The sequence below is a fragment of the Homo sapiens genome, chromosome 1 (assembly GCF_000001405.40).
Source record: "Homo sapiens chromosome 1, GRCh38.p14 Primary Assembly".
Lineage (NCBI taxonomy): Eukaryota > Metazoa > Chordata > Mammalia > Primates > Hominidae > Homo > Homo sapiens.
In genome coordinates this window covers 110,556,391-110,579,800 of record NC_000001.11, presented here as the reverse complement: position 1 = coordinate 110,579,800, position 23,410 = coordinate 110,556,391, and positions in this window count along the sequence as shown.

Sequence of the window (23,410 nt, the reverse complement as noted above, 5' to 3'; positions counted from 1 at the left end):
TTGACCAAACTTCAGCCTTCCTTCCTCCTTGCCCTTTTTCCACCTCCACTCAGTGTCCCCTGAGCCCTGAGTCATGCGGGGCAGCTGTTGGAGTAGACAGAGAACCAGCTTTAGCTTCCAGCCTGGGTTTAAATCACGGCCTCCCAATCAATAGCTGTGTGGCCTTGAACAGACAGCTTCTCTGAACTTTGGTTCCCACATTTGTATAAAAGGGATAACTCCCTCCTTGCCAGGTGCCTGTAAGGCTTAGAAAGTATGTATATAAAGTTGCTGTCCTAACTGTTTAGTAAAAGATAGCCACTATTGTTTTTGCTGTTATTTTCAATAGCTTATCCCTCTAAAATCCCAGGTCCTCTTCCCCATCAGATCTCACACCCACAGCTGCTTTCCTGGACAAACACTCCCTGATACTCTGTTCTTATGCCCACCCCAAGCTCTCACTTTGCTGAGGCTTTCTGGAGACAATGTTCCAGTCCCAGGTGTCATGTCCAACAGTGAGAGAGTTAGAGCCACTCATACCCCTCAGGGTGTCTGGCATGGAGATCTGATTTCTTCTCTCTGTCCTCATTAGACCCCTAGAAAAAGCCCCATGTGGCCAGCAAAGGCCTACAACCTAGTCTCAAGCAAACCCCCTCAGAACACTCATGAACCCTCACAGTGAATACAAAATTTAACTCAAAATGTATCATAGTCCTTAAGGTAAAACATAAAACTATAAAACTTCTAAAAGAAAACTGGGGAGAAAAATCATTATGACCTGGGTAAAGAGTTCTTAGAGATGACACAAAAGCAAAATCCAATTTTTAAAATGATAAATGGAACTTTGTCCAAATTAAGAACTTTTGCTCTGCAAAAGGGACTGTTAAGAGAATGAAAAGACAAATCACAGATTGGAAGAAAAATATCAGATTGGTACAAAAGTAACTATGGTTTTTGCCCTTGAAAGTAATGGCAACCTAATATTTGTAAATTACATATCTGACAAAGGACTTGTATTCAGTATATATAAAGAACAACACTCAACGCTAAGAAAACAAACAACTTTTTCCCAAAATGGGCAAAATATTTGAACAGACACTTTATCAAAAAAGACATATGGGTGGAAAATAGGGACATTAAAGAAATGCAAATTAAAACCATGATGAGGACCACTAAACACTTATCAAAATGGTTAAAATAAAAATTCCTGACAATAGCAAGTACTAGTGAGAATGCAGAGCTACTGGACTCATATATTCCTGGCCTCAAATTTCTACAGCCACTGTGGAAAACTATTTAATAGTTGCTTTTAAAGGGAAACATATATGTAGTATATAACCTAGTAATCCTACTCTTAGATAATTATCCAAGAGAAATGAAAACTTGTGTTCACAAAAGAAAACATTACATGAATGTTTATAGCAGCTTTACCATAATCACTAAAAACTGGAAACAATGCAGATGTCTTTCAGTAACTTAGTCACTGGATAAACAAACTGGAACACCCAAACAATAGAGTACCATTCAGCAATAAAATGTAATGAACGATGTATACACACAATGACATGGATGAATCTCAAGTGCATTTTGCTAAGTGAAAGAAGCCAGATCCAAAATATATCCTTATATTTATAGAAGCATATAATATATCCTTTTATTTATAGAAGTTTCTGGAAAAGGCAAAATTATGGGGTTAGAGAACAGATCAGTGGTTTCCAGGGATTACAGTTAGCAGCAGGGGAGGAATCAGCTACAAAAGGATCACAAAGGGATTATTCGGGGTGATGGAACTATTCTGTATCCCCGTTGTGGTAGGTATACAACTCTATGCATTTGCCAAGATTCATAGATCTGTAATCCACAGAGAGTGCATTTTACTGCATGTCAATTTAGAAACCTAAATCTAATAAAATGATTTTAAAAACAAAAAGAAGAGACTATAAGTAATAAAAGGAAAAATAAGCTAGCAGAGTTCAGGAAACAAATGAAAGAAAAATAAAAATATTGTAAAGGTGAAAAAAATAGAATACACATAACTAAAATGCTGTCAACAACATGGTAGACAGGATAGAAGAAATTATAAAACAATAAAGAAAAGAATAAAGATATGAAAATATTGCACAAAACATTAAAAATACAAATGACAAAGAAGATCCAGAGTCAATAGCATTGCTGTTTGTGGAGAAGGGAACAGATAATAGGATAGATTAAGTATTCGAAGACACACTAAAGTAAAAGAAAACATTCCTGAAAAGCCTGCATGTCAAAAAGGGTACACAGTGCTTTAGGAAACAAAAAATCTGTGAAGAACAATCTATATCAAAACATTTTGCTGAAATTATTCAACTTCAAGGATAAAGAAAGAATCACAGGGACATTAGAAAAGAAAAAAGGTAAAATACAATGTGAAAAATATTATTTTGTTAGTTAACTCATTAGTTTAACCAATACATATGGTGCACCTACAATGTGCCAGGCACTGTTAGGTGCCAGAGTGATAAATAAAGCAAAGTCCCTAATTTCATGGAGCTTAAATTCTGGCAAAAGGACAGTCAATAAAAAACATTTATCAGTTATGGTATGAGTTATGAAGAATGATAAGCCAGGATGTGGGGATTAAGACTGGTAAAGACATTTTATTTTTATAGGTGGTCAGAAAAGATCTCCCTGATAAAGTCACTTTGAACAGAGGTCTGAAGGATGTGAAGAAGGAGCCATAAGGATATCTGAAAGGTAGAGCATCCCAGAAAAAAAAAATCAAGTGCAAAGATCCTGAGGTGGGAATCTACATAAAGGCTCAAAAACAACAAGAAGATTGTGGCTAGAACACAGTGAGTGAGTGAGTGAGTGAGTGAGTGAGTGAGTGAGTGGTAGAAATGATGTCAGAGAAGTCATCTGGGCAAGATCTTGTAAAGTCTTCTAGGATATAAATGCTAAATGTGATAGAAAACCATTAGAGGGCTGAGAACTGGGGAGTGGCATGATGTAATTTTAAGATAATAACTTGGTATTGTATGAATTACCTGGAGAATAGAATTCAATAGGATGGGTGGGGTGGGATGGGATGGGATGGGATGGGATGGGATAGGATGGGATGGGATAGGATAGGATAGGATAGGATAGGATAGGATAGGATAGGATAGGATAGGATAGGATAGGATAGGATAGGGTAAGGTAAGGTAAGGCAGGGTAGGGTAGGGTAGGGTAGGGTAAGGTAGGGTAGGGTAGGGTAGGATAGGATACAACAGAATTGGATGAAACAGAAGCAAGAAGTCTCTTAGGAAGTAATTACAACAGTGCCAGAGAGAAGTGTGATGGCTCATGCTAGGGTGGAATCAGTGGAGGAAATGTGAAGTAGTGAGAATCCAGATATATTTTGAAGGTAGAGTCACCCTTTTTGCTGAAGGACTGAAAGTGAGATATGAGAGAAAGGATAATTCTAAGGATTTGGCCTGGACAACTGGGTGAATGGTGGTGCCATTTGTTGTACTGGGAAATGATGGAGGAATAGTTTTGGGGAGTTGAGCTTTGGTCATGTGAACTTTGCCCAGCCCATTAGCTATCTCAGAGGAAATGCCTCAGACTTTCCCTTAACAACACAGTCCCAAAGACAGGGAAATCATGCCTACAACATTCCAAGAGAAGAAAAGCATAGCTTAAACAGGCATGTCACCTTCAAGTATAAAGCCAGTGGACAGATACCATCATACATGCAAAATAAGAAGACTCCTAGAAAAAATTATTTGACTATAAATCTAGCCAACCAAATAGTAAATCAAAATAACTTGAAGATCAAATTTGTGGTTTACAAAAACCAACAACAACTAGTATTAAGCATTCCATAGTCCACAGTCCATAAAGATTTACATAGAACAGAAAGTAAATGTCATTACTTTGGACAATGTGAAAGTAATGCATTTAATAAATATCTTGTGTTGTGGAGGAGGAGAGGGGAAAGAGCAACATGCTGATTTACTCACTTTCATAGCAGAGAGTCATTAGATAGTGTCTAAAATTCGAAATTTCACTTAAAATTTACTCTACTCTCTCAATACTTATTTTCTCTTAACTCTGAGGGCTATTTTACGAACTAATATTTCTTGTGAAAAAAACATTTATCTGATGTTCAGAAATTCCATGTCAATTCCTTGAGTTTCCTATTATCCCAGTAAAGCTTTCAGTTAAATTAAATTTACTACATTTTAGTTAAAATGCTACATATGGTGTGATTCCATCCTGGTGAAATTATTTCTCTCTCTATCACTTTGTGCCCATCCATCTACTCCTCTCTATGCATATACACATAAAGACATGACCAAAATAGTTACCACAGATTTTTAGTGATGATTCCTTTTGAGTAATACGAATAGGGTGATTTTTTTCTCAATCAAATATTTTATTTTACAAGCTGGGTGCAGTGGTGCAGGCCTGTAATCCCAGCTACTTGGGAGGCTGAGGCTGGAAAATTGTTTGAGCCCAGGACTCCAAGACCAGCATAGCCAACATACCAAGACCCCATCTCAAAAGGAAATCTTTTAAAACTAGCTATTTACATGTAAATACAAAAGGTAATTAATTTTTAAAACTGAATAGCAAGCACAAACTCAGCTGGGTAAGTAAAGAACAATATGTGACGTCTCCAGGAAAAGGTAAATGGAAGAGTCCTGTGGTCACTATCTGGTTCCAGCTTCCCTAAGGATTTGCACGAGCCCAACTGGGGAGGTAAATGGTCAAGGTCGTGACTGAGTCTTGGAGAACCTGGGGCTTCCCATACTAGGGGGATCTGGTGGCACTGAAGTTTGGGCCAAGGACAAGCATGTAGCCATGACACTGCATGGTGCAGAGTTGGGGAAGGAAAGGAGGGTGGTCAATTTTGTTTCTGAACTCACTATGGACAATTTCCAGTTCATGTCCTCAGGTACTAGGCATGTGGGCTTTCAGAACAGTAAGAAGCATCTACTAGAAACCCAATAGGGTCTCAGAAAACAACACTGCCTAACTACCAAGGTTATTTTGTGATGGGCCAGAAGAATCAGTATGTTCTGATATCAGGAAGGCATGCAGCAGAGCTTCTCTCACAGACCTGTGGACAACTTAGAGAAATCTCAAGGAAGGGTGGTGAGGGAGGCTGCAATAGCACCCAGTGTTGACGCTGTCCTGATCAGCATTCCCACTGACGATTTGGATGAGGACACGGACAGCATGCTGATCAAACCTGAGAGGGCATGACCCAGAACAGATGTCACAGTCCATCTTAAGAGATTCTTCAGGCAAAGACTTTGGAGCTTTAGTTGGCTTGTCTCCGTATTAACCAATCGTGTGATATTACTCCAACAAGTCATTACTTGGAGATCTCCACATTGTCTCTGCTTGGGCTTTGTAGAACATGTTGTTTCTTCTGCCTAGCTATCCTTCACCTTCTTTATTAAGGTATGGCTTTCTCAAAACTCAGGTGTCAGTCCTCAATGCCAGAAAAGCTGCCACTTCCCCAACTACACTTCTGTGCTTTCTAAACCATTAGTTCAAACCTACCATAGCTTTCACCAAAGTGCCCTGTAAACATGTATCTTCTTCGTCTGTCTTTGCAACTAAACCCTAAGCTCCTGTTCTGAGCCCTCTGTATCCCCATCAGTGAGAAGACTGCCCAGTACATAAATGCTTGCTAAATAGATAGAAGAATGGATGAAGTACAGTTGACTCTCCCGCTAGAGCAGCAAAACCTAGGGACAAATAAATGGACAACAATCTGTGACTACATCCTCTCTAGATCCAACCTCCGAATGTTCAGTAACCTCAGCACTAATTCCAAGCTTGAAGAACTCAGGATTGTAGATGCTTCTGAGTTTTCTAAGCAGAACTCAAGCTCATAAGCTCAGTTTGCTCACTGGTGAAGTGGGCAGATTGGACTGACAGCTCTAGCTAGGGCTTGGATGTACAGAGCAGTTGCACAGGGCCTCATGGTCAGAAGGGCCCACTCTTGGCTTACAGCTCTGCAATTGCCACCTTGAAATTATTAGTTTTTGAAAAAGGAGCCCTACATGGTTCTTTTGCATTGAGGCCTGCAGATTGTGTAGCTAGTTCTGTTCATCTATGAGTATAAAAGAATCCATTTTATTTTTATTATAAGCAAAAACCATTTGATAAATATTCAAACCTACGGCAACTTGCATCTCATCTTCATCAATTCATTGAACAAATACAGGTCCATGTTTTGCATAGTTGTCATCAGAAAATACATACTACTTAGCCCCTTTGCCACTTCTTGTTTTGTATGTACACATTTGTCCATGCCTTGACATTGTTCCCATATTTGTCATTCTTAATAGCTCTATCATATTCTAGAATGCAAATAGACTGTGAGTTTCAAACCAAACCCCAATGGTTGGGCATTTGGGTTGCTTCCAATTTTTAAAAATAGCATTTCTAAGAACAAGTAAATACAAATTACTTCCTTTTGTCTCTTTTGGGGTATTTCCTTGGAGTATATTCTGAGAAGTGGAATTCTCAGGTCAAAAGGTAGGAATAACTTTATAGCTCTTAAATATTACTGGATTGCTCTCTTGAAAAACTGAACCAATTTATGGAGCCCTCATCAACAGATACATGTAACTGCTTCTAAAGTTCTGAAATAATTATGTTTTACTAGTTTAATATGCACATAATGATATCTTAACATTGAAAATAGCCTAAATGTTCAACAGTAAGGTATTGAGTTTTAAAAGCTTGGTAAGTTTGTACATTTTTTCTATACGATCAGTACAAATCAATTTTTAAAAGCACCCAAGTCCCCTGGCCTGGCTCACGGTCAGTCCTCGCTCTCAGCCTTGGCCACTCTGTGTTCAACAAGATGACCTTAAGTATGGATCTCCCACTGGGCAGAAGGCTTTTGCCCAGAGCTGTGCTACAGAGGCAGAGAGGACAAGCTGGGTCCTGGGGCCACCACTTCAAGCTGTGCACCTCCATGAACCTCTGGCTTTTACCTGGGAGCTAGGGGTGATAACCAAGTGCCTTGCAGGGTTAAGGAAGGATTTCATAAAATAATGTAGGAAGCAGGCTCCCTGAAAGCCTCCAAGTCAGTTGCTGTCATTATTTTCTAAGAAAGTTGGCTGTGCAGAGCAACTAATCAACACTGACTCGCCCTGTGAAATCTCAGCCATCCTCAGAGAGGAAGAAACAACTGTGAACCCCTATTACATCTACAAGCTGTGCACCTTCCAGGTGGGAGGATTACAATCTGGTACCCACTCCCACCTCCCCCAAACTTAGCAATAATACATATTTATTTAGCAAACATTTAGAAAGCACTTACCATGTGGCAGGTACCCTTCCAAGTGTTTCACCAAATTAACCCACTTAATCATCCTAACAATGTAGTGAGGTAGGAACTAGCCCCATTGTACAGGTGAGAAAATAGAGGCAGAAGAGGCTGAGTGACTCACTCTCACCAAGTCATACAGACGGCTAGTGACGGAACCAGGATTCAAGCCAGGCCTTCTAGCTCTAGCTCGTCCTCTAGAGTCCACAGGCTTGTCCTCTAAGCTATACTGTCTCTAAATGAATCAAGGGACACCAGAACCAAAATAGACCCTGGAGTCTATTTGAAATAAATTCTAGAGTCTATTTGATGATTCTACTCTAACTCCTTCACTTTTAAGATAAGGAAACTGAGGGCTTTTCAGAGATGATGACCCACCCAAAAGCACACAGTGTGCAGTGGCCAAGCCGGATGGAAACCCAGGCCTCCTTATCCTTGAGGCAGCTCTTCCTACCACATCTTTTTGCAGCCCATCTGCTGCCTTGGATCAGTGACTGGGCAGATCCGTTTCCGTGGGATAACCCTCGCAGCCCTCTTCTCTGAGGGCCCAACCCAGAGAACTGAGCAGTTTCAATGCTGTTAAAAAAGCAGACTGGACAGGTCAGCCCTGGAAAAATCAAGCTGAGACCAGTGCTTTCTAAAGAAACACCAAACCCACCCTTTGTTCTGGCCAACAGAGCAGTTTTTTCAGGTTGTTTCTGTCCAGAGGAGTCAAGGGCTGGGCAAGAGAAGCAGCTAAATCACATTTCTTTTAAAGAACATAATGCAGAGGGACAGAGGAAGAAGGATTCTCCATCAATCCAGGAGAAGCACTTTCTGCCAGGATGGGCGCCAGGAGGGGCCCTCCCCTGCCCCCTCCCCCCAGTTTTATCCACCCTCTCCCCTCCCGACCCCCATGCCCAGTCGCCCCCACCCCCACGTCAGAACTCCACGTGTCTCCTTCTAAGATGAGTTCTGTTGCTTCCTCTCCCTCCTCCACCTCTGCTGATGTGCACCTTCTTTGAGCTTCTATGGTTATAAATAAATGATGTCTGGATTGATTAGAGGATCAGCTTTCCCTCTAGCAACAACCCTGAACTCTCATTTCTGAAATTTTGCTGCCCACTAGCATCACTCAAGTTTCATTTTGCACTGGGACTTTAGTGGAAAGAGTTCTCACCTGGGAATGCAAGACGATCACGAAACCTGGAGTCAGGAAATGCGGGTTTGAATCCTGGTCTTGCCACTGACTCTCTACGTCCTTGGGCAGATCACTCCATGATCTGCAACTCAGTTAGTGCCATTAAAGGGGATGGTAATTTCTAGCCACGTTCCTTACAGAATTATTGAAAGAAGTGAATAAGTGTGAAAATTCAGTAAACTATAATGCCCAATGCAAATGTCAGCAGTAGAGCCGCTCCGCCCTGCAGCTGGCTAGCTTCATGACCCTGGCACAGCTCTATCTATTGCTTTACTCTTCACTTTCACCTCCACATTAGGAATAGTCACACCTACTCTTCCCCAATGCCTCCTAACATTGTTCTGGGGACAAAAATGACATACACATGCAAAGATACTTTTAAACAATAAAATATTTCTTCTCTCTGATATTAGTGACCTTAAATGATGTTTATGGAGAGTTTTAAGTGAAAAATTCAGGATACAAAATTGTGTATATAGTAAAAAAAAAAAAAAAAAAAAAAAAAGCAAATCCAGAGAAGAGACTAAAAGAAAAGATAACAAAATGCTAACAGTAGATGTCTCAGATTTATTAGAATTCTTTATCTGCTTTATGAATTTTGTTTTTCCCTACAATGAGCATGTTTAATAATCAACAGAGAATTTTTTAATCAGGCTTTTTTTAAAAGTTGAGAAGTCTTGTTCTGAAGTTGCTCACACAGAGACACACCAAGAGCAGCCAGATGGATGCTGTAAAGCAGTTATGCCCAGTGTGTTAGAAAGGGTGTGGGAGAGGGGCCACCCGCAGGGAGGGAGGAGGGGAGGCCACCAGATAAACGGCCAGCCGGCCACCACAGAAGCACCTACCTGTGACTCACATGGGCCATCACAGAACAGCAGAGCTGGAAGGCAGCTCAGAAATCTTTAGTCATCCACAATTCCCCATCCCCATTTTCCAGATCAAAATTCCAAGGCCAAGACAGGAACAGTGACTTGTCTAAGATGCCAAGTCTCCCATCCCCTAGTACTACAGCCCTTCTGTGCCATCTCTGGGGGACTGTGAACTGTTTACCTGCCAGGCTGGTGCTTTCATTTCTTTAGCTGATACTCACCCCCACTTCCCAATTCACTGGTTGCCATATTCACCAGGGAATCAGAATCACTAATACGGTTGGGCACCATATAATTCAAGATGTGAATCTGCCATACTTCTGTTCAGAAAGGAAGACCATTAAAGACACAATGGCTGAGTAACAAAAATCATAGAATTTTGGGATTTTAGAGCACTGTTACATTACCTTGCAGGCGAGGAGGCTGAAGCACAGAGACATTCACGGCATCCACAAGGTTACACAGCTAGTTTGTGGATGTACCAAGTCAACACCCAGCTCTTTTTACTCCTGATTCAGTGCTCTTTTCCATTCTATTGTGCAGCTCTTCAAAAATAAATGAATGAAAGAAACCGAAAAGATGATCATCAGTGTTATAATTTAATAGCCAATCATTACAGACCGGAATTTCCAAATTATTTGGAACTTATATAACATTATATAAGTTATATAGAACTTATAGAACATTATATAAGTTATATAGAACTTATAGAACATTATATAAGTTATATAGAACTTATAGAACATTATATAAGTTATATAGAACTTATAGAACATTATATAAGTTATATAGAACTTATAGAACATTATATAAGTTATATAGAACTTATATAACTTATATAAGTTCTATAGAACTTATATAAAAGAGTTAATGTCCTAAGGTACAAACAATGCCATCAAATAAGTTTTTTTTAAGTGACAGCCCAATTTTTAAAATGGATAAAGGGTACAGAGGTAATTTATAGAAAAAGAAATACAAGGCCGGGTGCGGTGGCTCAGGCCTGTAATCCCAGCACTTTGGGAGGCCAAGGTGGGTGGATCACAAGGTCAGCAGTTTGAGACCAGCTTGGCCAATATGGCAAAACCCCATCTCTACTACAAAAATACAAAAATTATCCGGGCATGGTGACATGCGCCTATAGCTCCAGCTACTCAGGAAACTGAGGCAGAAGAATCGCTTGAACTCAGGAGGTGGAGGTTGCAGTGAGCCGAGATCACACCAGTGCACTCCAGCCTAGGTGACAGAGTGAGAAAGAAAAAGAAAAAGCAATACAAATCGCCAACAAATATATGTTCTATGTTTATAAAACATGTTTGTCATAAGAAATTCAATTCAATCGAAGTAGGATTGGAAAAGGAAGCTTGAGGGACCTTCATTTTTTACATCCTATATTTCTTCATTGTTTAAATTTATTGCTAAAAACATTTTGACATTTTTAAAAACCAGCCCTCTAAAATATAAAACTCTATAATCACATGATTTCAAAGGTAAACATTTTTTGATGTTTGGAATTATCTGTACCAGTATTTGCCTTTGTCTACCTACAGCACTGACATGCACCAACAACAATTAAACAATAGATTCACACCATTGATCAGATATGTAAAAAAGCCAAAAGTGAAAACAACTTGAAAATATTACATAAAATTATAGGAGAATGTTGTTTTTAGCCTTGGACTGAGACAGACCTTCCTAAATAAAACATGATACCTGAAAGCCATAAGGAAAATAGCTGACAGATTTGACTACTTACAAATGAAAAGTTTTACACAACAAAATACTTACAAATAAAGTTAAAAGGCAAATGAAGGGCATGGAAGAAAATATTTGCAATGTATTTAACACAAAAGGATTAATATTGGATTTATGTAATAACTTCAAATCAATTATAAAGACCAAACATCCAATGTACATTAAAATGGACGGAAGTTATAAAGAGGCAATTCAATTTTAAAAATTAAAAATAAAATTTAAATGGCTAACAAACCATTTTTAAGATGCTCCACTTCACTTGTAATCAGAATACCCATAAAAAGTTGTTTAAAATTATAATCCATTTATATTATAGAATACTACAGAGGCTTTTTTTTTATTAAGTCCTATTTGTATGTACATACATGGAAAGATCTCCAGATGCATTTCTTGGAAAAACATGCTCCAAAACAATGGAAATAGTACAATCCCATTCATGTTTAAAAGCTTTACATCAGCCAAGCATGGTGGCTTACACCAGTAATCCCAACACTTTAGGAAGCCAAGGAGGGCAGATTGCTTGAACTCAGGAGTTTGTGACCAGCCTGAGCAACATGATGAAAGTCCGCCTCTACTAAAAATACAAAAATTAGACGAGCATGGTGGAGCATGCCTGTGATCCCAGCTACTCAGGAGGCTGAGGTGGAAAGATTGCTTGAGCCCAGGAGGTCAAAGCTGCAGTAAGCCATGAACACGCTACCGCACTCCAGACTAGGCAACACAGCCAGACTCTGTCTCAAATAAATAAATAAAGCTTTGTATCCGTTTTCATTTATGTACATATACCTATAAATGCATGGGCAAAATTCTGAAAGAGTACACATCAAACCATTAAGAGTGATGTCCCTCTGGAAGGAAGTGAGAACGAAAGAGATAGCTTTGGAACCAAGGGGACTTTCACCATTTACTTTATTTGCTAATGTGTGCATTGTTTGAATCTTTTGTAAAACAATATTCCTGTATTCCTGTATTTTAGAAAACAATAAAATAATAGAGAGGTCATGATGGCTGTGATTTCTATGAACCAAACTAGCAGGAGTTGTCTAAATTTTAGAAATAATTTCCTGAGATAGAAATGAGACACCCAACTTTATAGAAGCATCAGGAAGTTTCTTCTAAGTCTATCCTCAGCTTTCTTGGTGCGTTATCTTGCTTCCACTTGTTCTATCCTCAGGGTGCACTTAGAAATCAAGTCCACTGATGGCAAGAGAAACCTTCAGGCTCTGATAGAGAAATGTCCCCACCTCTACCTGTTCCCACTTTTACCACTCCACCACAGCCCCAAGCCAGAGCAAATCTCTGCCTCTAACCAGTCTCCCTGCCCCTGGAACCCTCCAGTCAGAAGGACAGCTTCAGGTCCTTTGCAGCAAAGTCCAGTACAAAGTGAACTCATGCAACCCCAAAGAGAAGGTCTCCCAGAACCCCTGGTCAATTTCCACTACCCTCACCCAAGGGATGAGAATTTCTCCACCACAAGATGTTAAAAGATGTCAGGCTCAGAAAGTCATGGATTCACCAGAGTATGTGAGCACCTACTTACGTGCCAGATATTATACAGGGTCTTTCATTTCTGGTGCTTATTTCTTTCAGGCCATACCGTAATCCCAGGGTGGGCACTATTGCTTGTACACATTTTATCAATGAGAAAACCAGGATCCAAAAGGTGACATCATCAACGGTCAGTTCAGTTCCACAAACACACATTAATCAGGTGCTCCAGGCACAGCCCAAGGTGTTTGGTATTTATAGAAAAAACAATTGTGCTCCCTACCCTTGAGACTCTCAACAACAATGAAGAAATATTGGGGCAAAGATAATACCCTACAGAGTCCAGTGTTAGGCACAGCAACTTCCTAATGAAAACCAGCTTGACAGTTTGCCTCAGAAGTATGTAATTTCATCATATTGTACTGTGCGCAGTTCAGAGATGGAGATAAGCATTTGGTACCATGGAAATACAGGTAACCTAGCCTCAGGGTTCAGCAAAGGTTTCCCCAAAATGGCAAGCTGGGATTTGGACCCAGGTCTGTGTGACTCCAAGCCTCATGCCCTTTCCACTATGCCACAGTGCGTGGTGAAGAAATCTCGGGGTGCAGATATACTCAACAAGAGAGGTCAGTCAGACCAACATATCATACTGAAGACCAACTGGACACAGTCTAACTCAAAATTAGGCCCTGTAATGGGGTATCACAAGAAGACCAGCTTTCTCCTTTAGCTTTGAGCTTGGGAAGCTCAGCCCTTCTTCACTGTACCTCAAGTGCACCCTTGCATTCTGGGGGCTAACACTGCTCTCTCCATGGCTTCCAGAACCCCCCAAGTCCCATGGTGCCATCTCCCCTTCCCTGACCACTTACAGGCATCTTCCTTCACTACTCTGCCTCTGCTTGCAACTTTTGAGCCAGTCCTAATGGCTACTTCTTGCAACCTCAATTCGTTTATCAAGTGGTCTGATCTAATTTCTCCAATCTTCATCCCTGCCTCTGGGACTTCTCCCAGAGTCCACACAACTAGCAGCCCTCCCCACATCGTGGCCTCCCCCTCTGATATTGGTTGGGCCTGATATATAATTCTCACTCAGTGGACACATTAGCCCAGCCAAGGTGCCTCAGCAGGGGCCGCCATGCCTCCAGTATCCATGAGTTAATTCATCACTAGTTACTTTCACTACAAAACAAATTTCTGGTTTCCCCCTGCCTCAGAGCAGGCTTACCTCTCTTCCCAGGTCAGGCTAAGTGCACCAGCCACATAGTGGGCACTTTGAATACCAGAAAGGGAGGAAGTTTTCCTCCAATCACAGGCTAATCAGGAGTGGGTCTGGACTACTCTGGTTACTTACAGGATACTCCCTGCTGTCCCTCTTCCTTTGCATACCCCTCAGCACACACACAAAGCACATGCCTGCCACACAGACACAGCTCTACACAGAGAGGGGCATTGTACTTTGAAACAGTGGAAGCCAGAGCTGGCCACAGAGGCTCTTTCTCCAACAAATGCAGATGCTAGAGATGCAGCCACTTGGCCGCCTGCCTAGGAAGCTCCCCATCCTCTCCATACCCTGCCCACTTGGGTCCTCCAGGAAGCAATAGCCTGAAAAAAAGACAATAGCCACAGGCCACCCCACATCCCCTTCCCCAGCCCAGAAAATCCCATTCGAAGCAGACAAGGCTTTTTAACAAACAATTAGCTTAAATTTTTCATTAGCTGCTGCTTCCTCTGCAGTTCCTGCCTCCACCCCTTTCAAATCTCCAAGCTACGTATTTAGCTGGGGAGGCCCCAGCCAAAGGAGAGTCTAGCGGATGTATGTTCGGGTTGAGGCTCCCATAAACCCACCTCTGAAGTGGACCTAATAATGAAGCTGATTGTGAATTAAATCAATTACCTCCACACAGCCCATGTGTGGCCTACTTCAGACAGGCATTTCCCAGCACAGCCGCGAAGCCTATCCTGCCGTGAGAACTCCTGCTCTTCCCTGCTAACGAGGATGACCATGGTAATGAGATGAAGATGAAGAAGATGAAACTGGTAAAGATAAGGTAGATGCCTTACATCTGTGTCTTCTATCATCTGCAATGTCCTTCCACAGGCAGACTCTCATTTTAACCTCGGAACAACTCCATGAGTTTCCTGCAATCCTTATCAGCCTCCGGTTTTTAGAAAAGGCAAGTGAGCTTCAGAAGTGAAGTGACTTCATCTAATGACACAAAACAATCGTAAGGCTGGGGCAGGATTGAGGATGTCTTCCGAAGGCAATTCCAAGCTGGAATTTCAGAAAAAGAAGTCCGATTAGTTCCCTTTTCTCACCGGGGTCCAGATCTGGGAAACTGTCTAGATGCGTGGATGGATGGATGCTCAAGTACTGCTACTCTGACCGGTTATTTTGGAGATGGTTGAGAGGTGAGGTGAGACAACAACTTCTCTCTACTGTTGCATCATGAGATCCTATTAAAAAAACAAAAAAAAACAAAAAAAACCTTTCTTTGGTTCTAAATGTATATGCAGACCATGGGGAAGGAGCTCTCACACATACATATACACTCCATATGCTGACCTGTGGAGAGGAGGCGTCTGGCCTCTTATTCTTGTCTCCATCATCACTGCTAAGGATGTCTACCCATTATCCCAAAGACAGGGCTCTCCCAGGTATACTGCTTGCCCCATGTAAAAGGAAAATAAATCTTGGGACCCCAAAATTACTAAGCTAAAAGGAAAAAATCAAGCTGGGAACTGCTTAGGGCAAACTTGCGCCCCATTCTATTCAAAGTCATCCCCCTGCTCACTGAGATAAATGCATAGCTGATTGCTTCCTTTGAAAAGGCTGATCAGAAACTCAAAAGAATGCGATCGTTTGTCTCTTATCTACCTATGACCTGGAAGCCCCCTCCCTGCTTCAAGTTGTCCCGCCTTTCCGGACCGAACCAATGTACATCTTACATATATTGGTTGATGTCTCATGTCACCCTAAAATGTATAAAACCAAGCTGTGCCCCTACCACCTTGGGCACATGTTGTCAGGACCTCCTGAGGCTGTGTCACAGGTGCGTCCTTAACCTTGGCAAAATCAACTTTCTAAATTGACCGGGACCTGTCTCAGACATTTGAGGTTCACACCCTTTAGGACCAGCAGGAAGGCAGACTGTCCTGGAAGGAGGAAGAAAGACCACTTCTCCAGCCCTGCTCCCCACACCCTAAAGAGAGGGCCACCCGCCCACCTGTCACCCCCCTGTCAGATCTGCCTCATGCCTGAGTTGTTTCTAAGTCACCTCTGGGCCCAGGGTAGGAGCAGAAGAGCTAGTCATCTTCAGATTCACCTGTTTCTTCCTTGGCACCTAGTGGATGCTTGATAAATGATCATTTATAAAGGAAGGGGGCTGGCCGCGGTGGCTCACGCCTGTAATCTCAGCACTTGGGAGGCTGAGGAGGGCCAGTCACGAGGTCAGGAGTTTGAGACCAGCCTGGCCAACATAGCGAAACCTCGTCTCTACTGAAAATACAAAAAATTAGCTGGGCATGGTGGCAGGCACCTGTAATCCCAGCTACTTGGGAGGCTGAGGCAGGAGAATCGCTTGAACCCAGGAGGCGGAGGTTGCAGTCAGCCAAGATCACGCCACTGCAATCCAGCCCAGGCAACAGTGCAAGACTCCGTCTCAAAAAAAAAGAAGGAAGGAAGGGAGGGAGGGAGGGAGGGAAGGTTTGTAGGTAGGGTAGGTAGGTCGGTCAGTCAGGGAGAAAGTCACAGCTCCCACTCCCACCACACAGTCTCCTCCTCCATGAGCCTCAGCCTTAGTCTCATGGTACGTTCCCTGCTCTTTTGCTCTTCTCTTCTGTCTCCCAGCCACAGCTCCAAGTGGCTTTGAACTTGCCTAAGTAATTCCTCAAAAAAGTCTTTCTGTGCAACTGTGGATACACGTGGGAACTTGCTCAGCACACGTGCCTGTGTAATCCATAAGTTCAGGAAACCAATACCTTGGTGGTAACCCTCAACCAATGGGGTGGAGATGCCAATGCAGAAATCCTCCTTTAGGCTGATGCTCAGATGGACCATTGTGAGATGCATTCTATGTTCTCCCCAGACCATCTTGGTGGGATCTAGCTCGCATTCCCCACAGCAGTGTCCTCCATAATGCGCCCTTATAATGGATGTTCCTCTTTCTCTCACTTTCCCTGGGGCCTCTCAGGTCTACTACTTACACTACTTACCAGAAGAACTCTCTGAAGGTTCCTGGTACCCCTCTGTTGTTTTATTTCTTCCTGTTCTACATAATAATCTCAGTTTCTACCTCCTTGAAGGAAATTCCGCAGCCCCAAATCCAAAGAGGGCATAATAACAGTAGCAGCTGGCATGGCTGGGGCACTTATTCTGCATCATGGACTGGGCTCTGTACTTTATAGGCCTTACTTCCAAGCCTCACAACTCTCCTCTGAGGTAAGAATTACTATTCCCACTTTACAGATACGCATACCAAGGTACAGAAGAATATGACACCAGTCACAATGACAGATAAGCAATTAGTAGAGCTGGAAATTGGACCCAAATCTGTCAAGTGTCTCACCTTGACATTCTATAGGCCTGGTCCCAAAGCAGCTGAGTGACCCCTAGAACAGCTTAGAGATGCACACAGCCCAGAGATTGGTGTCCCCACCACCTCCTGGCAGAGGTGCAACTAAAACAGAGGCTGGAAGGTGGGAGAGAGCTTAGGGTTGCAGAGAACAATGAGCTGACTGCAGCACTGGGGAGCAGGCCACAGGGGCTGGAAAATGAAGCTGAAAGGCCCAGGGACCAGGTTATACAAAGCCCTGTGCACTGGCAAGAGGCAAGTGGATCTTCCCCTGAAGGTAACCTGGAGCTTGTGGAGGCTCTGAAACAAAGGAGTAGCCGGGCCAGATTTGTTTTAGAAAGATTCCTTAGGCTGTGTGGAGTCACAGAGTGGCTGGGCCAATTGTCCAGGAAGATGATCAAGGCCTGAACCAAGGCAGGTGACATGGAGAGGGCAGGTTGAGGAGAAGATAAACCCAAGACATAGTGTGGGAGATGAGGAAGAGAGTGGAGTTGACAACAACCTCCAGGGCTGGCTGCAGGCAGCGGCACTCCTTCCATTTCTCAGGATCCACTACACCAGCCACTTAAACCAGCCAGTCTGCAGAGCATGTGGCCCAGCACCCAAATCCTCACCAGAGGCTGCAAGGCCATCCCAGTCAGTAGTAGCTCTGGACAACCCACCACTCTCCAAGCCTGGGACTGGGCTCCTTTCCTGCCAGGGGAATGGTTGGGGGCCTCTGGGAAAGGGCGAGGCCTCCTCGAGCCCTATCTGGGAGTCTCTGCTGGGCCATCTCTGCCCCTTGAAGCCCGTGAAATATTTACAACCAGCCAAGCGAGGGAAGTGAGGGGGAGCTGGAGCATGAATTATTGACAGCTTCACTTTCATCCTGGCCCAGGCTGCTGGGCCGAGCCGAGACCCAGGGGAGCCCCCACGGCAATCCATGGGCATTAAGCAGAGTTCTTGAGGAAGCCAGGGGTACAGGATCCTCACTATCAGGAGGACCACAGGTGACCTGAGCACCACACTCCATTCTGACTCCTTGGGGTGCCCAGTGCTGGTGAGGGGGATGTGAGCAGAGTGATTGGAGAGAAGTCCAGTGGCCCCAGACCCTCTTCAGCAAGCCCAGCTGAGCCCTCTTCTCCCTCATTGGCTGCCTCCCAGACACCCCGAGACTGGGCCTGCCAGGGCTTCACTAAGTTCCTGCAAACTACTCAGCTACCTGCTGTTGGCATAGGTCTCTGCTTCTTCTGAGAAGATTCTGGGATATTGTCTCTAGTCCTGCAGGGTGCCAGTCCAGAATTGGCCCTGATGGGCAGGCCTCTTCCACACAAACCTCCACAAACATTCCCAAGGAAACGTCCTGTGGGTCAGCTTCTACCTCCTCACAGATGAGCATCGCCAGCTCTTCTCTGCAAGGAAAGAGCTGGATTGTGCTGCAGAGGAGAGAGCACTGGACAAGGAGTCAGAAGACTTGGGTCTGAGCCACTGCACCACTAGCCAGGCACAGACCAGAGCCTTCATTTTCTTGTTTGAAAATGAATCATGAGGGTGGCACCTCCCCAGCCTACCCCACGGGGCTGGAGGGCACCCCAGGAGATCGCACAAAAATGAGCTCTCCAGACAGAAGTGTCATTTTTGCCAAACCCAGTTCTCTCCCAGCCCTGGCTGCAGCCAGTACCTCAACCTTAGATACCGACAACTCGACAGCCAAAGTGACAGACCACCCAGCCATGTGATCCATGTGATCCGGCCCCAAGACCAAAGGCTTTTTATATTTTTACATTTGTCCTTCCAGGACATGTGGTGTTGGGAGCAGCAGCCTCTGCGGGGCTCCCTCACCACCTGCCTGCCTGCACATGACAGCTCTGTCCTGAGGTGAGGGAAGGAACCAAGATGGGGTTGGGAATGGGAGGATCTGGAAGCCCTCGCTGGACCCAGGAGCATCTGGGTAGCCGCCCCGCTCATCGCTGAGCTGGGAGCCTCACCCAGAGCCTGATGTTCTGCTGGGAGGTTCCCAAGGCCCTGAGTGATGGGCACATGGGAAGCTTCTCCCCCATGCGCCCTCCAGAAGCCCACCTCCTTCAGCCCTGGGGTCCAACCTCTCACTGCAAAAGGGAGCCAGACCCACAGGCAGACGGTGTTGCTACTTCTCACTTGCTTGCCACCTTCCTCCCTGTGAGAGAGCTCATGGCCCTCCACAAACTTTCAAAGTTGGCAACTCTAATGTCTTCCAGAGGAGAGGACAGGGAAGGGAGAGAGGACAGACCTAGAGGTCTGAGTGTGTGGAGGAGAGCAAGGCTGGAGACCTTGCAAATCGTTAGCAGACAACGTTCCCTTTGAGTAAGCACAGCATTTCTCAAAGGAGCGCTGCTTGCCTCTGGAGTGAGATGACTCTTGGCTGTGCAGGACTGGCCTTCCTGCAGGACACTTGGCTTCCCTGGTCCCAGGCCTTTTATGCAGCACTGCCCCTCCCCCATTCCCTCCCTGCTGTACTATTACAACCACCACTCCCTACCCAAATTTCCAATTGTCTGCAAGGGTGCAGTACCAACCCCTGAAGAACAAACCAGTGGAGCCTCCCCAAGCAGGGACCCTGCCTTGCTTTTTAGTACTCATCTCATCAACCAAGTGCACTCAGAACGCACCCCTACCCACCACCCAGCTGACTGACCCAACTGTCTGACCCCAGTGACTGTTGACAAACCTCTGCCTATCAGCCAGGCTTTTTTTTTTTTAGAATTTTTTTGAAGTGGAGTCTTGCTCTGTCACCCAGGCTGGAGTGCAGTGGCATGATCTTGGCTCACTGCAACCTCCATCTCTCAGGTTCAAGCGATTCTCCTGCCTCAGCCTCTTGAGTAGCTGGGACTACAGGCATGTGCCACCACGCCTGGCTAATTTTTGTGTTTTTAGTAGAGATGGGGTTTCACCATGTTGGCCAGGCTGGTCTCAAACTCCTGACTTCAGGTGATCCTCCCACCTTGGCCTCCCAAAGTGCTGGTATTACACGCATGAGGCACCGTGCCCCACCTATCAGCCAGACTTTAACTGGCCAAGTACCTGCTTACCTAACAGGCAGAAGAAGGCCAGATTTTTCCAGAACAAGAGTTCCCTAAACCTGATGCAGATCTGCACTCAGCCATGCGCTCTGGGGTGACAGATCCTCCACCCTCTCACAAGGTGATCTCACTCGCCCTGATTCCCCTTGGGAGTTCTCTGTCAACCCCCTTCAGGAACAGAGATCATTGCCTCTGACTCCAAGTCCCCAGGCTTTCTCCAGTAAAGCCCCACTCGGCAACAGCCCATCTCCTCCCCTGACTCAGCACCCTGCAGCACCTCCATTCTGCTGCCTCTATACTGACCTCAGGGATGTGTCAGAATGAGTAATGGTCCCCAGCACCTCCCCTGTGGGTACGAACATGCAGGAGCAGCATTTCCTGGGGCCTCAGTGGGCAAGATGGGAAGGGTTTTCTTCAGGTGCCCCTCCCCAATTCAAGCCCAGTTGGCTTGGCCTTTGTGAAATGTAAATGCCCTCTCCTATCTACCTTCCCTCCTGCCCAGACCCTGGCAAGTTCTGGCCTTCTTCCACACATGGCAATGTTCATCCATCAATCCCTTTCTCCGCTCATCTATCTGTCTACCTATCTGCCTGTCCCATCAACAATCCACCCATCTCTCCATGTATCAATTCATCCATCCAATATTCAGTATTTTTTGTGCAACAATGATGCCACACCTGGTCATTGTCAGTGAATCTCACTCAACTAGTTCCTTATTAAAAAACTTTAAAATACATTTTGCCAAAATGTATCCCTAGACACCTATTTCTCCCACTCATTCCACACATATTTATTAAGCTCCTACCATGTGCCAGGCACTGTACTAGATGCTATGGGTACAAAAATAAAGGAACATGGTACCTGCTTGCCAAGAACTTACAGATTGCTGAGTACATAAACAAGTAAACAAGCCATTGAAACAAAGCATGATCCATTTTAGGATCATGCACAGCACAGTGTGCCAAAGAATGGAGTCACAGGGAAAGCTAACACCTATCTAGAGCTCCCCACATGCCTGGCACTGTTGTGAGCACTGTACATGCATTAACTCATTTAATCAGAAGAGGGACACCTATTCTAGGAGGTGGGGAGAAGTGATAACTGAACTGGATCCAGAAAGACAAGCAGCAGCAAGTAAGGGGAAGGAAGGGGATGGGGGAGTTCCAAACAGAGGGAACAGCCTGTGCAAAGGCAAGGACGTCACAGTAACTGCAGTGTAGAAAACAACTGAGTGAGTGGCAAGAGATGAGGCTGAGGACAAGGGCGAAGGTCACATTCATTCTTTCCCCAAACATTCCTTCACCACTGTGCAGGACAGAGAGAACCCCAACCTCAAGGAGCTTACAGTTTAGTCTTAGTGGAATGGCAGAGGTCAGTGCACATCAGAAGCTCCTGTGAGTGGTTTGAAAAAGCCCTGGATGATTCTGAGATGTATCCTTCTCCCAGGCTGAGGATGATTGTATTAAATGATCTCAAAACTCACTTCTACCTCTAACTTTCTATAAAAGGGTATATCAGAGAGAGGGATCAAACCATCCTGCCCTAGAAGAATCTGAGGGGCCAGCACTGGTGTCAGAGTTTGGCAAGGTGCATCAGACTCTGCTGGGGGCCCTTCCCTGCCTCCATCATGGGGGCATCACCCAGACCTCCCCTTCAAAATGAAGCCACACACTCCCACAGCTGCTGGGAGTGTTCGCTGCCGACAACTCACAGCTGAGTCCCTCTCTAGGCACTGCCCTCCACTGAAGGGAGCAGCATCCCCTAAGGTTGTACCCCAAGGGCAGCCCACATCCAGTAACTGATCAATGAGAGGACATAAAGGCCTTGGCTTCCCAGCCTTAAGGGCCATCCTAGCTCCAAAGCTCCTTGTGAGATCAACTGAGACCTCTGCTGCAACTGCATCACTGTACAACCTGCCCCTCTGCCCCATCCCACAGATGATGACACCAAGCGCCCTCCCCTACAAACCTCCTGCATGCAAATCTCTGTCTCAGAGCCTGTTTCCCTGGAAAACTGACCTATGACCAGGGGCCATACTGAGCTGGGCCCTATGCTGATGCAGTCTTGACAACCTACCTGTTTGTTTACCCTCCCATCTAAACTTCAGTTCTGACTCGACAGCCCCGGGAAGGAGACCTGCTCACTATTTCTTACACATCACTTATTCTTTCAGGATCTCTATATGGCAAGAGCTACCACCAAATCTCTCCTACTTTCCACTGGTTATAAATTTGGCTGTCATGGTCTGAAGCTCCATCATCATCACCATCACCTTAAACCTCTTTCCTTAAAAAAAAAAAAAAAAAGCTGATTCTTCCTTCAGGAAACCTTCCTAGACTACCTTCTCCTAAATTTGAGGAATTCAGAATCCTGGAGGACTTGAATTTCCAGCTGTTGTTTTGAAACATTTATGTGTTTATAGATGGATATTTAAACCATGCTTATGGGTTTCTTGAAGCCTATATTTTTATATTTCTATGCCCTCAGGAATGTGTACTGTGATTCTTCAATAAAATGAGGAGGGGTGGAGATCCCCCAAGATCAAGGTCTTCCTTCATCTGTGTCTCCCCAAACCCTTCTGCTTGGCAACCACTTGGCTGCTTACAGAAGTGACCAGTGCAGCGCCTGATGACAGCTCAATCACAGCAACTACAGCAACCTACGTTAGCCCTTTATTCCTATCAAAGGCTGGTATGCACAGCCTCTGTAGAACCTCTGGCAGGGGGCCGGCAGGACAACTATCATGATCTCTATCTTACAAATGAAGATCCTAAGATCAGAGAGATAAAGTGACTTGCCCAAGAACCCAGGCCTGCTGACTCCCCACCCAGGGAGTGGGCAGCCCAGTGCTGGCGAGAACGGCAGCATGTGGGAGCTCAGGAATGTGGTCTGCAGTCACCCAAGGGCTGGGAGATGCTGGCAGGCACTTGCGGGGGCACCCCAACTGCCACTGTTTTCCCAGATGGCCATGTACAAAGAGCCCTTTCAGTAGACATAGTCACCAGGGAGGCCTGGGGAGCTACAGCTGCAGGAAGGAAACTGCAGAGTCCCCTAAGGACAGCACCAGAGGCCAGGCCCATCTGCAGAAAACAGGGATGTGACCGAGTACATGGGACGTCACTGCACTACTCAGCAAAGTCTCTGACCCCTCTTGGGCTTGTCCAGACCCTTGGGAGGACACTGAGGGGCACCAAGGGCTTACAGCATCTCTGGAAGTG